Raw genomic sequence first — 16,272 nt, 5'->3', positions numbered from 1 at the left:
ATAGCTATAGAAGGTATTCAGAAATCACGTGTTTTTTTTTTTCAGCTGGTATGCAATTAAGTTACATACTAGCCAAAAATAACTGGAATGCTATTCTTCCTTTTTCCATACTACATAGAAATTCCTATATGTGGAAAGCTGAAGCAAGAACAGTAGATACTGAAACCATGTCAAAGAAGACGGAACATAGTTTCTTGCAAGCACTTTTTTAATTCTTCCTTTATGATAGTTAATACAGCCCTGTGCTCTGCATGGCTGCTTTTTAAACAAGAAAGTCATAAGTGATAAGTAAATATGCTTAATGAAGCAAAGACAGTTCACTATAGTTATCGCCTCCTCTCTGCGCCAAAACAAGACAAAGTGAAAAATTAAATCTGTTAAATTAAACTGAATAACAGGATAAATGAAGACCTTCCATTCATGCAGATCAGGTAAATATTTATAGTGAGCAGGACTCACTATAATGTTTATATGAGTAGTGGCAGTCCTGTTATCCTGCTTAAAATGAAAGTCTCTATTTCTGATTTAATATGGTATCTGATGATCAATCACCAACACAGACTCTTCTATTTTTCATTGAAAATACATATATAGACAAAAATAGCAATAACATCAGTATACAGACACACACTAAACCCCTATTAGGTAAGATTTTCATGCAATGTATTTTCATAATATGGAAAGAATTTCAAATGACAAGATCAACTTAAATCAAATGGTGACTCATCTTTTATATGCTGCCAGAAATATCATATGCTGTCCATGTAAAAGTCAATTGATCTTGCATTTCTTACTCACTCAATACTCAGGTTAATTAATATATTGGCCAGCGGTGTCAATACTCTTAGGGCTGTGTTTTCAAAGTCCAGCATTTTGGGTCCCCTCATCTGTATTTCCCATCAGTATTTCTCTTTTTATTTGTATTCGGGTAATGAGTGCTGGTAAATATATCTCTTTGAGGTCAAGTGCTCTAGGTATTAGCAGAGGCAAGAAGGCAAGAGAATAAACAAGACTAAACATTTTCATGTGCACCATACAATCACAGTGATGGGTAATCAGATCATGAGGGTAGGAGAGGCTCTAGCAGATCTCAGCTGGGGAAACACACACACACACACACACACACACACACACACACTACCATTCACAATGGTAACTGGCTTGGAGCCATGCACATCTGTTTAGATAGTTCAGTGTGACCATAATTCTTAAGTAAATAAAAAGTGGGGCCAAAAACAATCTATGGCCCGCGGTTTCCGTTTATTGGCAATGCCAAATCTGGATAGACATTTACTTATTTAAATGTGTGTCTGTGTGTGGGCGGGGGGAGGGGGGATTATGCCTATAAATTTTTTCTGCAGTAAAAAAAAAAAGAAAGAGAAAAATCATTATTTATAATTAGAATCAATGTAACTACATTATTTAGAAAAGACGTTCAAATTAATAACTACATTTTTGACAGCTACCTCAAACACAGGAAGACATGATGATTTCAATGAAATATGAACAGAAAGTTAATAAAGATAAGCTGAAATGAAAATAAGAAAATTAAAAGGAGAAGAGTAAAGATAAGGAAGAATCAAAAAGGAAACTAATAATACAATATTAAATTTAAATTTGCAATGAACCAAGGAAAGCTAAATACATAAATCAGAAAAATAACATGAAAAACTATTGCTTATTAAAGGCAAATTAAAAGGACCAGGGAAAAAACTGAAAAAAGTCATCATTCTGAGGAAGATTGAGAAGAGTGAGAAATATGAATATTTGGAATAGAAGGAATACTAAAACACATAGTCTAAGAAAAAAATATCTAAGTTGGAAAAAAGCCTATGCAAATCTAAAACAGGATTATAAATATTCCAGGTAAAATAAGTAAAAAGAGATACTATTTTAGCTGAACAAAACACATACATTAAGAAAATCCAACGAGCTGTAGGCAGACAGATTCCTTACCAAAAAAATAAAAAATCTCAGACTTTATCATAAACAAAGCTATAATCTTTGGAGAAAATGAATTGGGTAGAAGAAATAGTTGCTCATTCAAAACATCCTCTGTTAGTGAAAGCAACAGAAATTAGTTTTAGGTACATAAATATTCATAAAAGCTTGGTTCGACTGTTTCTTTTCTATTTTTACTTCTTTGCTGATTTCTAACAAAGTATTTTCCTTCACTGCATAATCTATACAGTATCCTGTTGAAATATCCAATCCCTTTAGACAATAAAATAAAAGCTATTCTTTTCCAAAATTTACTGGTCATGGCTAATTGTATACAGCATTTCCCAAGTGACAGGTGCTTTTCTAAGCAAGTTACACATATTAACTTATCTATCCCCACTATATTTTCTCCAGTTCTCTAGGTTGTCAATTTTTGGGTTTTCTGCAATTGCTTTTGGGGACTTAGCCAAAAATTAGCCAAGGCTGATATCAAAAAAAAGTATTTCCTAGGTTTTCTTCTAGGATTTTTATAGTTTGAAGTCTTATGTTTAAATCTTTAATCCATCTTGAGTTAATTTTTGTATATAGTGAAAGGTAAGGGTCCAATTTCATTCTTCTGCATATGAACACATTCTATACATTCATTATCCCAGCATCATTTATTGAATAAGAAGTCCTTTCTCCATTGCTTGTTTCTGTTGGCCTTGTCAAAGATCAGATAATTGGTAGGTGTGTGGCTTCATTCTTGAGTTCTCTATTTTGTTCCATTGGTCTATGTGTCTGTTTTTGTACCATTGCCATGCTGCTTTGGTTACTGTAGCCTTATAGTATCGTTTGAAGTTGGGTTGTGTGATGCCACTGGCTTTGTCTTTTGTTTATGTTTTGTTTTGTTTTTGGCTTTGGATTGCTTTGGCTATTTGGGTTCATTTTTCAGTTCCATATGAATTTTAGAAGAGTATTTCTAACTCTGTGAAGAATGACATTGGTAGTTTGATAGGAGGAATGTTGAATCTGTAAATTGCTTTGGGCAGTATGGCCATTTTAATGATATTGATTCTTCCAATTCATGAGCATGCACTGTTTTTCCATTTATTTGTGTCATTTCTAATTTGTTTCAGCAGTGTTTTGCAGATCTCCTTGTAGAGATCTTTCATCTTCTTGCTTAGCTTATTCCTAGGTATTTCATTTTTGTGTATGTGGTTATTATAGATGGGATTATGTTCTTGATTTGAATCTCAACCTCGGTGTTATTGGTGTATAGAAATGTTACTGGTTTTCGCACATTGACTTTGCATCCTGAAAATTTACTGAAGTCATTCACCCATTCTAGAAGCCTTTTGGTGGATTATTTAGCATTTTCTAAGTATAAAATCACATTGTCAGTGAAGAGAGATCCTTTGACCTCTTCTTTTCCTATTTGGATGCCTTTTATTTCTTTCTTTTGCCTGATTGCTCTGGCTAGGACTTCCAGCACTATGTTGAATAGTGGGGGTGGTGAGCATGGGCATCCTTGTCTTGTTCCAGTTCTCAACGGAAATAGTTCCAGCTTTTGCCTGTTCAGTGTGATGTTGGCTGTGGGTTTGTCATTAGATGGCTCTTATCATTTTAGGTATGTTCCTTCAATGACTAGTCTGTTGATTGTTTTTATCATGAACAGATATTGGATTTTATCGATAGCTTTTTCTCAGTCTATTGAGATGATTATATGGTTTTTGCTTTTAATCTGTTTATGTGGTGAATCACATTTATTGACTTGTGTATACTGAACAGGATTGTAATTTTTTTTATTTGTTTGAGATAGGGTCTCTCTTTGTTGCCCAGGCTGAAGTGTAGTGGCATGATCACTGATCACAGTTTACATCAGCCTCGACTTCTTGTGTTAAAGTGATCCTCCCACCTCAGCCTCCGGAGTAGCTGGGACCTGGGACTACAAGCGTCATCATGCCTGGCTATTTATGTTGCCCAGGCTGGTCTTGAACTCATGACCTCAAGCAATCCTCCCTCCTTAGCCTCCCAAAGCATTGGATGATAGGCATGAGCCACTATAACCGGCCTGCTAGAATTATTTAAAGTGAAAAAAAAAGCATTATCCTGCTTTAATAATAATGAAAATTAATGAACAAGAACACGTAAGTATCCTAAACAATTCTAAATGCTAATATGCTATTTATTTAAAAGTTCCAGAAAGGATATTTAAATATTTGTGTTGAAGAAAATATCAAACATACCTTTAGTCATGCACTAATAAACATTGGTTTCTTCTATTTTATCTTATCTCACAATTATCACTTGTTTCTTCTGAACTAATATCCTAGGGGATAGTCATTCATAACCCAGAATGGCATTCGATAGAAGTTTTAAGATAAAGAATTATCTAAATTTAATTTCAAAAACAGTGCAAATCTCTGTATAATCATCATTAGTACTCAAGCAATTTAAGTTTGCCATACATCTTATGAATTATCTCATGCATTACATAGAGTCTATGAATAAGACAATCTACATAACTTCATTTTAATACAAAGTAAGATAAAAATTAATGCATTGAGATTTTAAGATTAGAATATGCCTCAAATCTCCTGATGTCTTTGGACATCAGAAGGTTAAAAAAAAAAAGCAGGAAAGAGGGGATGGACAGAGGTGGTGCTCTGGAGGTTACAATAAGAATAACATTTATTTGATGTGACCATTTATTTGTCCATTTAAAAATAATTTTGAAGGATCTAGTATGTTGTCAGCGATTGGGGATGCAAAGATTAAACAGAGGAACCAGGATTCCGGTTCCAATGGAAGTAATAATTTTCTACTTAGCAGACACATTGATTACAAACCCTTATTCCTTACCCCTAATTCCTTTGTCCTAAAACTGAAACTCGCTGATTAAAGGCACAGTACCTAGTTCTTTCTAGATGTGTTAAAACCATCCTTCAGAGGAGTCCCTGCAAACAAACAAAAGATTTATTCCATTTACTAATTAGGATACGGTGTTTTTAAAGAAACTTATTCTGATGCTTGATGTGGAGTTCAAAGATTTCAAAATGTATTAAAAATTTTGTTAATTCTCTGAAAATAATGATCTCCTTAACTGGTCTGATGAATTCTTCCTCCAATTCATTCTCTCTATTGGTAGCACCAGGCTTACCTTCCAAACTAAGATATCTGATAATATAGATTCCATTTAAGACCATATAAAATAGCCTACTGCTTTCAAATCCATTGGATTTCTGTGTACTATTGAACTGGTGCATCCTGAGCACTCTGATAAGTGTGTGCTACTTGCTCTTCCCCAAGCACATCCTGCTGCTGCTCGTGTCTACCTGCAGTCTATGCAAAGATTTTATCTTCCTCTGATGTTATCTCTTTCTGTGTTCATCCACCAGTCCTATTATCCTAGAGCCCATCTTCTCCAAGAAATATCTGAGTCAATAAACAGAATTAAGTACACATTACCTCATAATTCCCTGGGACATGATTTGAGCCTCATTAACTATTTTCCTTTCATCTTTCTTCCTTCCCTTCCACAACATCTCATTCCATCCAGAATAAATCCAAATTCCAAACTGTGACTTACATGATTGAGTCTTGCAGCAGAAACACGCTAAGGTGGTCCCCAATGAGTCACGTCTTTGCACAACCCTCTTTGTTTGAGTGCAATGAAAACTGTGACTTGTTTGTAACCAATAGAATTTGGCAAAGATGTCACTGTGTAATTACACTATATAAGATCACATTATAGCTGATGGGAGCAAGAGATTCTCCTGCTGGCTTTGAAGAAGTCAGATAGCATGTTATAAAGGGGGCTGTGAGACGTTCATGTGGCAAGGAACTTTGAATGACCTGTAAGAGTTGAGAATGAACTTTGGCTGGAAACCAGTGAAAAATGGATACCTCAGTTATACAAGTGCAAGAAAATGAAACCTGCTGACAACCATGTAAACTAAGCTCCAGAAAAAAAGACACTGGCTAACACCATGATTGCAGCCTTGTGAGACTAAGATTCTGAGCTGAGCATCAGTTAATCTATATCCAGACTCCTTCCCTACAAATACTGTGAGTTAGGTAATAACTGTGTGTTGTTTGAAGCCAGTAAGTTTGTGTAATTGTTAAGCAGAAAAAAAAAAAAAAAAAAACAAGTGCATTAGTCCGTTGACACTATAATAAAAACATACCTGAGACTGGGAATTTATTATAAAGGAAAGAGGTTTAATTGACTCATGATTCTGCATTGCTTGGGGGGCCTCAAAAAACTTACAATCATGTTGGAAGGCACCTCTTCACAGTGCAGCAGAAGGGAGAATGCGTGCCCAGAAAAGGGGGGAGGCCTCTTATAAAACCATCAGATCTCGTGAGAGCTAACTCACTATCATGAGACCAGGATGGGGGAAACTGCCCCCATGATTCAATTATCTCCGCCTGGTCCCTTCCAGGACATGTGGAAATTGTGGAAACTAAAATTCAAGATGAGGTTTGGGTGGGGACACAGCCAAACCAAATCAACAAGCCCTTACCTACTCCTCTACCACTTTTCCTGACCCTCTCCTTTTATATTACTTTGATTTTTTCACTCAGGCTTTTTCTGGTCCCCATTTCATGGATTTTAGACATACAGATCTCTGTGCCTGAAATGCTTTGTCCCCACTCTTCCTGTGGCTGGCTCCTTCAGTCTAAGCCTTTTCTTCTTAAGTGACCTCCTCATTGGTTTTTCTGGCTACTGTATCTAATAGGTGCTCCCTAATCCCATTATGGTTTAGAACCAAATTTGTTTCCTTTATGGCATTCATCAAAATGTATTATAATTGATTTATTTGTTTACTCACATGACTGTTTCCATATCCTCAACTAGAATATAAGATTGTTAAAAGCAAGACAACATATGCATCTTCCGCACTATTGTATATGCAGCACTGAGCTTGGCATTCTTGGGCTCTCAATAAATATGTGCTAGTAGGAGGAATCAAGGATGAGTTGAGATCATGCAGAGTGTTACATATAGCAGTGATAAATTTGTGCTTAAGCTAGGAATAGACAGGATTCAATATACTTTTTAAAATGCCTACTCTGGTGTTGTTTAGAGTTGGGCACTGCCATAGTGGTGGACACATTTAAGATTTATTATTTTGGAGATAGAATCAATAAGACATGATGATGTGGTAAATATAGATAGTGAAGGTATAAGAATAACTTACTTATGAATTTAGATGGATAGGTGGGTAGGTAGATAGAAGATGCCAGGCAAGAGCAAAAATGAATGGTGGAAAATATGATTCACTTCACCGAGGTTGGTGACTGCTTTTGAAAGAGAATATGGGCCGGGCGCAGTGGCTCACGCCTGTAATCCCAGCACTTTGGGAGGCCGAGGTGGGAGGATCACGAGGTCAGGAGATCCAGGCCATCCTGGCTAATACGGTGAAACCCCATCTCTACTAAAAATACAAAAAATTAGCCTGGTGTGGTGGCGGGCACCTGTAGTCCCAGCTACTTGGGAGGCTGAGGCAGGAGAATGGCGTGAACCTGGGAGGCGGAGGTTGCAGTGAGCCAAGATCGCACCATTGCACTCCAGCCTGGGCGACCGAGCGAGACCCCGTCTCAAAAAAAAAAAAAAAAGAAAAAAAAAAAAGACTATGGAGGAAGCAGGTAAAGTGATCTTTCCACTGGGTGGTCAAGAGTGCCATTCAGTGAAAGTCTCAGAGCACAGAAAGAGAATGAGTCTCTATCTTTCCTTATTGTACAGAGATATTTATGCAACTGTCTCTTCAGTTACACTGTGAATTGTTAGAAAGTTATAATTGTTAGCACTGAAACTGTGCATTGCAAACAATAAATGTCCAATAAATTTTCTTTAATTTGAATAGTTGAATTAACATTAGGTCTCCTTTACTCTTAAATTTTTAAAACATTTGCACTTTGAAAAAGAAAGTATTTCACTGGAATTGGGAAAAGCATTATAGTTGGGAGGAAAGAGAAATTAGAAAACAAACAGGGTAGCAAGTTTTGTATACTGCCAGGATGCCTTAGACTGCAATAATAATACTGTAACACAGGTTGAACAATGCAGGTTTGAACTCCACAGATTCATTATACGTGGATTTTCTTTCACCTCTGCCACTCTTAAGACAAGACCAACCCTTCCTATTCTTCCTCCTCCTCAGCCTACCTAATGTGAGGACAAAGAGGATAAAGACCTTAATAATACACTTCCACTTACCGGAGAGTAAATATATTATCTCTTCCTTATAATTTTCTTAATAACAATTTATTTTATTCAGTTGACTTTTCTGTACAAATACAGTATATAATACATATATATTAATTGATAATGTTATCTATAAGGCTCCCCATCAACAGTAGGCTATCAGTACTTAAGTTCTGGGGGATTCAAAGTTATCTGCAGAGTTTTGGCTGTGCAGGAGGTCAGCACCCTAACCCTCTAGTCGCTCAAGGGCCAATTGTATTTTTATAATGTCCCTTGCATTCCTGTCTTCCCCAATATTTAACTTGACTCTTTTATTTGGTAATGTCTTCACATTTTTCTCATTTTATTAAAATTACTTGAATATATAAAAACTCTCAGGTTAAAACCAGGAATTTATAAAGACAACAATAGATTGAGATTGAAAATAAAATGTTTCGTTAATTACCTTGTAGATAGACACCTCCCCACAGTGCATTTGAAACAGAGCCAAAGTGGGTATGGTACAATTTTGAGCTCTATCTTAGAGACATGCTGATTTAAGTAAAATTGACAACAGTCTGCTCTGTAATGACTTCTATTAATTACTAGTTCATAGTCAATAAAACCAATTGTCATACATTGATGTTCTATAGTATATGAATCCTACAAGGTATGTATATATGTGCCTAGAGTTATTCCAACAATTCATAACTTTTTTTTTTTTTTTTTTTTTTTTTTTTTTTTTTTTTTTTTTGAGAGAGAGTTTCACGCTTGTCACCCAGGCTGGAGTGCAATGGCATGATCTCGGCTCACTGCAACCTCTGCCTCCTGGATTCAAGGGATTATCCTGCCTCAGCCTCCCAAGTAGCTGAGATTACAGGCGCCCACCAGCACACCTGGCTAATTTTGTATTTTCAGTAGAGATGGGGTTTCACGGTGTTGGCCAGGCTGGTCTCAAACTGCTGACCTCAGGTCATCCACCCACCTCAGCCTCCCAAAGTTCTGGGATTACAGGTATGAGCCACCGTGCCTGGCCCATAACTCTTCATAACTCGTATATACACACACATTGTAGGAGATATATGTGCCAAAATTATATTGTTGAGATTTGTATGGCTTTCCAAGAAGTTTGAACCTTATCCTACAGGCAATGCAGAATTTGTATGGTTTGTTGTAAAAGGAACTGACATCACCAAAATTATTTTTAATAACTGGCAACAGAGTACACAATATAGACCATATTATTTTTCAGCAATTGTACCAAGACCTAATGCTGTACAATGATCAACTTTGGCATATATTTTATGAAGCATTTTAATTAACTACAGCAGATTAAAAGTTGTTCCTGTGTTCCTATGCTAATAACATCTTCCCACCCTTGCATTATGATATTCTTTCATGGCATCAGAAACGAAGGCCCAGAAATTGCACATGAAACCTGAAGATGAAATATATCTTTGAAAGTGAGGAAAGAATGGAGTTGAATGACTTGAAAGACATTGGACAGGAAGAATTGACACAAATTAGTGAAAATAAAGTTGGAGGAAAGAGGAGCGACCATGACAACAGGAATTCCAGCTTGATTCATGAATTGAGATAGGGAATAAAGTGTCCTCTATTTTGGAGGGGGCAGTAGAGAAATTAATTTTAATCATAATGGATTATCAAGATTTTACTGCTAGAAATGCCAACACTTTCTCACCGAAAATATTTTCACTACTTGGCCTTAGAGGAGTGTGTGAGGTTCCAATACATTTGTATATTTAAGCAGATAAGCTGCTTGTTTTTTTTTAATGGCAAGCAAAGAAATATACATTCAAATGTACTCACTATCTATTGTGTAAACATCAAAGATCAAAAATCTACATCACCTAAATAATATCAATAATATTTAAATGAAGCTTATCATCAATATAATAACTAAAGCCAATGGGACATTTTGGCCAAGTAAAATCAGTGCACATCAGACATAGCCTGATGATCCATAGCTACATTCAGACCGTGATTGGCCTCAGGCTAAGCCCAGAAATGCAAAGCAAAGGTGAGAATTGTAAATAAAAAAACAACTAAGACAAATCAAGGCTAAACATCTTGCTTCAACTACAAAACATTTCAGAAAAAGGCAGATCATAATTTTCTTCTCAAATGTCTCCCAGAACTCATAAGTAAATAGATCACACACTTGAAATACCTAATGAATTTATTTATAAATTATGTAGAGAATTGTTCTCATATTTATACTATGTAAAAGGTAGGTTGTTAAATAACTTTTATTGATATATCTAAACCATAACACGTGTCATCCCTACTGTCATACACATCTATGGCTCTACAGATGTATATGGCAGTTAATTCTATGCATAAAACTTTCCTTTCCTTGACCCAAAGGGTACAATAATGCAGTGCAAAGAATCTAATGTGTTGAAATAAACATTTTTAAAAGCTTGTGCAACATCATGTGGTGCATTTGGAACAGTCATACTTGATTAATCTGAATCAGTTTGCAAGTTTTATTTTTGTGCATTAAATTGTGTCTGAAAATTTGAAATTTAATGGCATATTCTGGCTGGTTGCTATTTAAACACAGCAGGTAAAATACAAATTATGAAAATAGACCATTCATACTTAGACCAAAAGAATATTTTCTTATAAATACTTCATTCACTATTTTCAGATGAAATTTTGCTCAGAAATGATACTATGTGAAATTATTTATCATGATTTTTAGTAACAGGATCTACATTTTATATCCCCTGCTAAAAGAAGCCTATAATCAATGAAACATTACAGATAAAGTAAAGTTTATCTGAAGGTCACTGTCCCCTTGATAGACTGCTTATTGCTGGCAGCAGATCAGTGACTCAGAAAAGTGCTGTGCTGGTGTTCACTTGATACTCTAATGGTGATGCTTCTACCTTGTTTTCATGTTCGATAATGATGCTAATAGAGAATGCGAAGATTCATTAACAAGACCAACCTGAAGAAATGGTTACCTCTCAAAAAAATGTATGATCATGACATTAATGACATTTAGAAAGGTTTAATGGATCCCTGGAATCCTACCTCTGTGAAAAGCCAAACTGCCATTCATTTATTGAGTGAAAGTAAGTGAAAGTCAATCTTTGACAAGGACATAAAAAAAACAGTGAACTTCGTTTAGATGTTAAATGCACTTGTCCTTGAACTCCAACTAGTTCATAAATATTTCCTTTGGCACATTTTTTTTGTTCTCATGTATTTCTCTGTTTATGGTTAATGGCGTAAAACTTTCACTCTTTTAAATGTCAAATTATCATTTCTTATTCATACTTCTTGACAATTGCTACTCTCTAAATACATTATTTAGAGTTATTTGCAGAGTCTAACAAAATTATATAGCTATGATTTTATTACAAGTTATATACAAAGATATGTTTTCTTAAGTCAATTTTTGTTCTTAGCATGGGGTACTGCATGATAACATGCTGTTAGAAGATTATTATGAAACGTCAAACATCTATTATGATCCATATTGCTTTTTATAATAATATATATTTGCTGAACACTATGAGTTTTGTACTCTATGGTATATTATAGTGAGGAGAAGACAGGTTCCTGACCTTGAGGAATCTATCATCAATCTCCTGACTAGGTAGCAGTAAAGGCATATTCTTGTATAAAAGAAAAATAACAAATGAGATGCAGATGGGTAGAAACAATGATTATAACAATGAAAAACATATTATTATAATATGTATGTTCCATGATACCTGAACACAAAAAAAATTCAAAATTTAGACTTTAGTCTTAATTTTTAAAAATTGGAATAAATACTTCTAGATCAGTCCCCAGTCACTTCACTATTGAGAACTACAGGCAGATCTCTATACAAATAAATAACTTTAGACAAAAATTTAGTTTACCAACATTAACTCCATTAAGTCTAGAAGAATTAAAGATGTACATTTTCATAGCTGCAATACAGTTGTAAATGAATTACTTTAGAAAAATAGTATCATAAATGGCTTCACCAACTAATTCTTCCAAACTTTTAAAGACAAGTTAGAATATGAAAAATGATTAAAAATATTTAAGTTCATTTATGAAGCAAGAATGATATTGTTCTATAACCTGTTAAAGATAGTTAACAAAGGAAATCATGGACTAATATTTCTTGTAAGTATTGCAGTTTTAAAATGAAATATTAGAGAGTAGACTCCAATACCACCAGTAATACACCATGTCTGTTATGGGCTGAATGTTTGTGTTCCCCTAAAATTCACATGTTGAAGCCCTACCACTCAACATGATAGTATTTCAGGATGGGGCTTTTAAGAGATAATTAAGGTTAGATGAAATCACAAGAGTAAGGCCCTGGTCTGGCAGAATTAATGTCCATATAAGAAGAGACACCAGAGAGTTTGCTCCTGCTCTCACAGGAAGACAGCCTTTACCCAGAAGCAAATTATCTGGTATCTTGATCTTAGACTACCCAGCCTCTAGAACTGTGAGAAAAAACAATTATGTTTTTTTTCAGCTACCCAATCTGTGATATTTTGTTATGGCAGCCTGAGCAAACTAACACAGATTTTGGTACAGAGAATTTGGGTGCTGTTATAGGACATACCTAAAAATGTAAGAGTGGCTTTGGAAATAGGTGTTTGGAAATAGGCAGTGATTCTCCTGCCTCTTGGAAATAGGTAACAGGTAGAGGATGGAGGAGGTAAGAAGTGTATGCTATAAAATGCCTGGATTGTATTGTTGGTAAGAAATACGAATGTTAAAGGAGATTTCAGTAAAGACTCAGACAGAAAAGAGGAGAGCTGGAGAGAAAGCTTCCAGCTTTTTAAAGAATACATAAATAGTCATGAACAGAATGTTGGCAGAAATGTGGACATTAAAGGTCATTCTGGTGAGGTCTCAGGAAAAAAAAAGTTATTGGAAACTGGAGAAAAGACAGTCCTTGTTATAAAGTCGCAGAAAACTTGGCTGAACTGTGTTCAAATGTTTTGTAGAAGGTAGAACGTGCAAGCAGTGAAATATGATATTTAGCTGAGGAGATTTCTAAGCAAAGTGTTCAAGGATTAGCTTGGTTTCCCCTGAGTGCTTATAATATAAAAGGCAAGAGGAGAGAGACAATTGGAGAAAATACTGCTAGGGTAAAAAGGAATCAGATCTTGAAGATTTGGAAAATTTATGGCCTATCTACATTGAAAAAATGAGAAATCTTGTTCTTAAAAGAACACTAGGGTTGTGACTGAACAATCATTTGATGAATAGATCATGGGTTCACCTCATGGGCTTAATCAGCCATCTCAGAAGAATCCAGGAATAGAGAGAGGATTATACCAGCAGAGACACTGACAGTTTCAATTACAGGGAAGAGAAAAAACAAAACTGAATGAAAGGTTGCCAGATTTCTTGGATTCTACAAGACTGAACCATATAGTTATTTGGCTATGATATGGTTTGGCTGTGTCCCCACCCAAATCTCATCTTGAATTGTAGCTCCCATAATTCCCACATGTCATGGAAGGGACCTCGGGGCTGGTAATTCAATCAAGGGGCGGGTCTTTCCCTTGCTGTTCTCAAGATAGTGAATAAGTCTCATGAGTTCTGTTGGCTTTATAAAAGGGAGTTCCCCTACACAAGCTCTCTTGCCTACTGCCATGTAAGACGTGACTTTGCTCCTCATTAGCCTTCAGCCATGATTGTGGGGCCTCCGCAACCATGTGGAACTGTGAGTCAGTTAAACCTCTTTCCTTTATAAATAACCCATTCTTGAGTATGTCTTTATTAGCAGTGTGAGTACAGACTAGTACAGGCTATAAATGTGTGATATTCTTTAAGTAAAGGGAAGAATGGCCCAAAGGGATTTAGAGATCAAGACAGCAACTCCTACCAAAGGCCGATGGAGAAAGGCTTTCTTTTGGGGCTGCAGAGAGTAGGGCCACCAAAGAGAGACCTGTGGGCAGAGTTCGCTCTCCTAGCAAAACAAAATAAGGCCACCCCACAGAGCCATGGGGCTGATGCTGCCACCCCAGTAGGCCTGGAGGGCAGAACATTGAACCAAATAAAATTATTCTTAAGACTTAAAATCTAATGCAGTTTTCCTTGCTAAGCTCTGAACTTATTTGGGAATCATCACCTTTCCTTCCTTCTTATTTAGCCCTTTTGGCATGGGAATGTTTGCCTTAGCTCTGTCCTACTTTGTATTTTAGAAGTACACAACATGTCTGCTCTCACAGGTTCACAACTGGAGACAAATTTTGCCTAAGGATGAACTGTACTTTCAGTCTTATCCATATTTAGATGAATGGTATTCAGATAAGAATTTGGACTTTAGACTTTAGAGTTGATGCTGGAATGAGTTAAGTCTTTTGAGAGAGGTGGAATGAATGTATTTTGTATGCAATAAATACATAAATTTGGGGGAGGAAGAAGGGGCAAAATATTATGGAATGTAGGTTTGTATCCCCCAAATTCATATGTTGGAGCTCTAATCCCCAATGTGACTGTATTTGGAGATAGGATCTTTATAAAAATAGAGTTTACAAGCTCATAAGGGTAGAAGTCATGATCCCATAGGATTAGTATCCTCATAAGAAGAGACACTAGAGAGATCATTGTCTCTTCACATGTGCACAAACAAGAGACCAAGTAAGTACACAAGAAGAGCATGGCTGCCTACATGCCAAGAGACGAGACTTCAGAATGAAATCTACCTTGCTGGCACCTTGATCTTGGACTTCTCAGTCCCCAGAACTGTGAGAAACATATTTCTGGGTTGTTTAAGCCACTCAGTCTATGGTATTTTGTTATGGTTGCCTGCACAGACTAATACAAAGTTGGGATGGGATTTATACCAGCCATGTGAATGTGGTTTAATATTAATCAGAATATTTAATAACATTCAAGAAATTAATAGGCATAAGAAGAAAAAACATGTTTCTCTCCATTGATGCTGAAAATTCAACATCTATTTATCATAAAAGTACTCAAATTATAAATGGATGGTACTATTCAATGTTATAAAAACATAATTCTAAAGCCAGTTTCTTACTTAATCAGGAGGCACAAAAGGCTTTTCCATTATGGTCGGGAACAAGAATGATCACAATATCCACTTCTATGTAATGTTATATTAAAAGTGTCAGCCAATGCAATTAAAACAGTAAAAAGTAAGTAAATAAATGAGAATTAAAGCAGCAGAACTTTCTTTATCAGCAGATGATATGATAATGCACCTGGAAAACCCAGAGAAACAATGATAAATCCAAAGTATAAAAGAATTTAGTAAGGAAATAGGATCAAAAATTACAGACAAAACCCAGTACCCTATATATACAAACAATAACAGGTTTGAAGATGTGATGAAAGAGAAAATTATATTAACAGTAGCAATATAAAAATACTTAGAAAAAATTAGCTATCAAGAAATTGCAAAACTATATACAGAAAAGTTAAAACCCTCCTGAAAAGCACAAAAGTAGCCTTGAAACTAATAAAAAGATATCCCTTGTTCTTGGATAAAAATAATTCAAAATTATGCAGATGTGAGTTCTCCCCCTAAGTTAATTAATAGATTTAATTTAATCCCAACAAAAATATCATCAGTTTTTTAATCTGCACAAGTTGATTTTTAAAAGTCATCATTCAGGAATAGCTAAGAAGGCACTGAAAAAGATATGAGAGAGGAATAGCTGCACATATTAAAACAAGCTACAAAGCCTCTCTAAATAGCATGGAACTGGTACCTAAGAAGGCAGATTGACCGGTGGAATAGAATAGAAAGTCTAGTAATAAACTACAGGTGAAAATTTAGTAATTGATAAAGTTAGATAGTATCAAAAATTACAGCTGCAAAGATAGACCTTTTAAGAAATGGGGTTGTATCAACTGGATATTCATTGGGTAGGAAAAAAAATAGTTTGATACCTTACCATACAAAGAATAAACTCAAAATTATCAGAAAATATAATTGTGAAAAAAAGGAACCATGAAAGTACTAGAAGAAAATGTGGAGAATTACTCTACAGCCTGGATGTTAGAAAAGTCTTTTTAACTATGTCGCAAATCTACATGCAATTAAAGAAAGAAAACTTTGACTATGTAAAAATAGAACACAAATCAAATTAAGACAAGAATATTTTTGTATGACAAAATACTAAATCAGAGTT

General features: G+C 35.4%; 1 long non-coding RNA gene across 1 annotated transcript in view; it reads left to right on the top strand.

Annotated features, from left to right (window-relative positions):
* The window catches only part of LOC105370262 (uncharacterized), a 41,390-nt gene that overhangs the window by 3,426 nt on the left and 21,692 nt on the right, over positions 1–16,272 (top strand). The gene's annotated exons all lie outside the window — the stretch shown is intronic.

The sequence above is a fragment of the Homo sapiens genome, chromosome 13, assembly GCF_000001405.40.
Source record: "Homo sapiens chromosome 13, GRCh38.p14 Primary Assembly".
NCBI lineage: Eukaryota > Metazoa > Chordata > Mammalia > Primates > Hominidae > Homo > Homo sapiens.
This window is presented reverse-complemented; position numbering and strand designations above follow the sequence as displayed.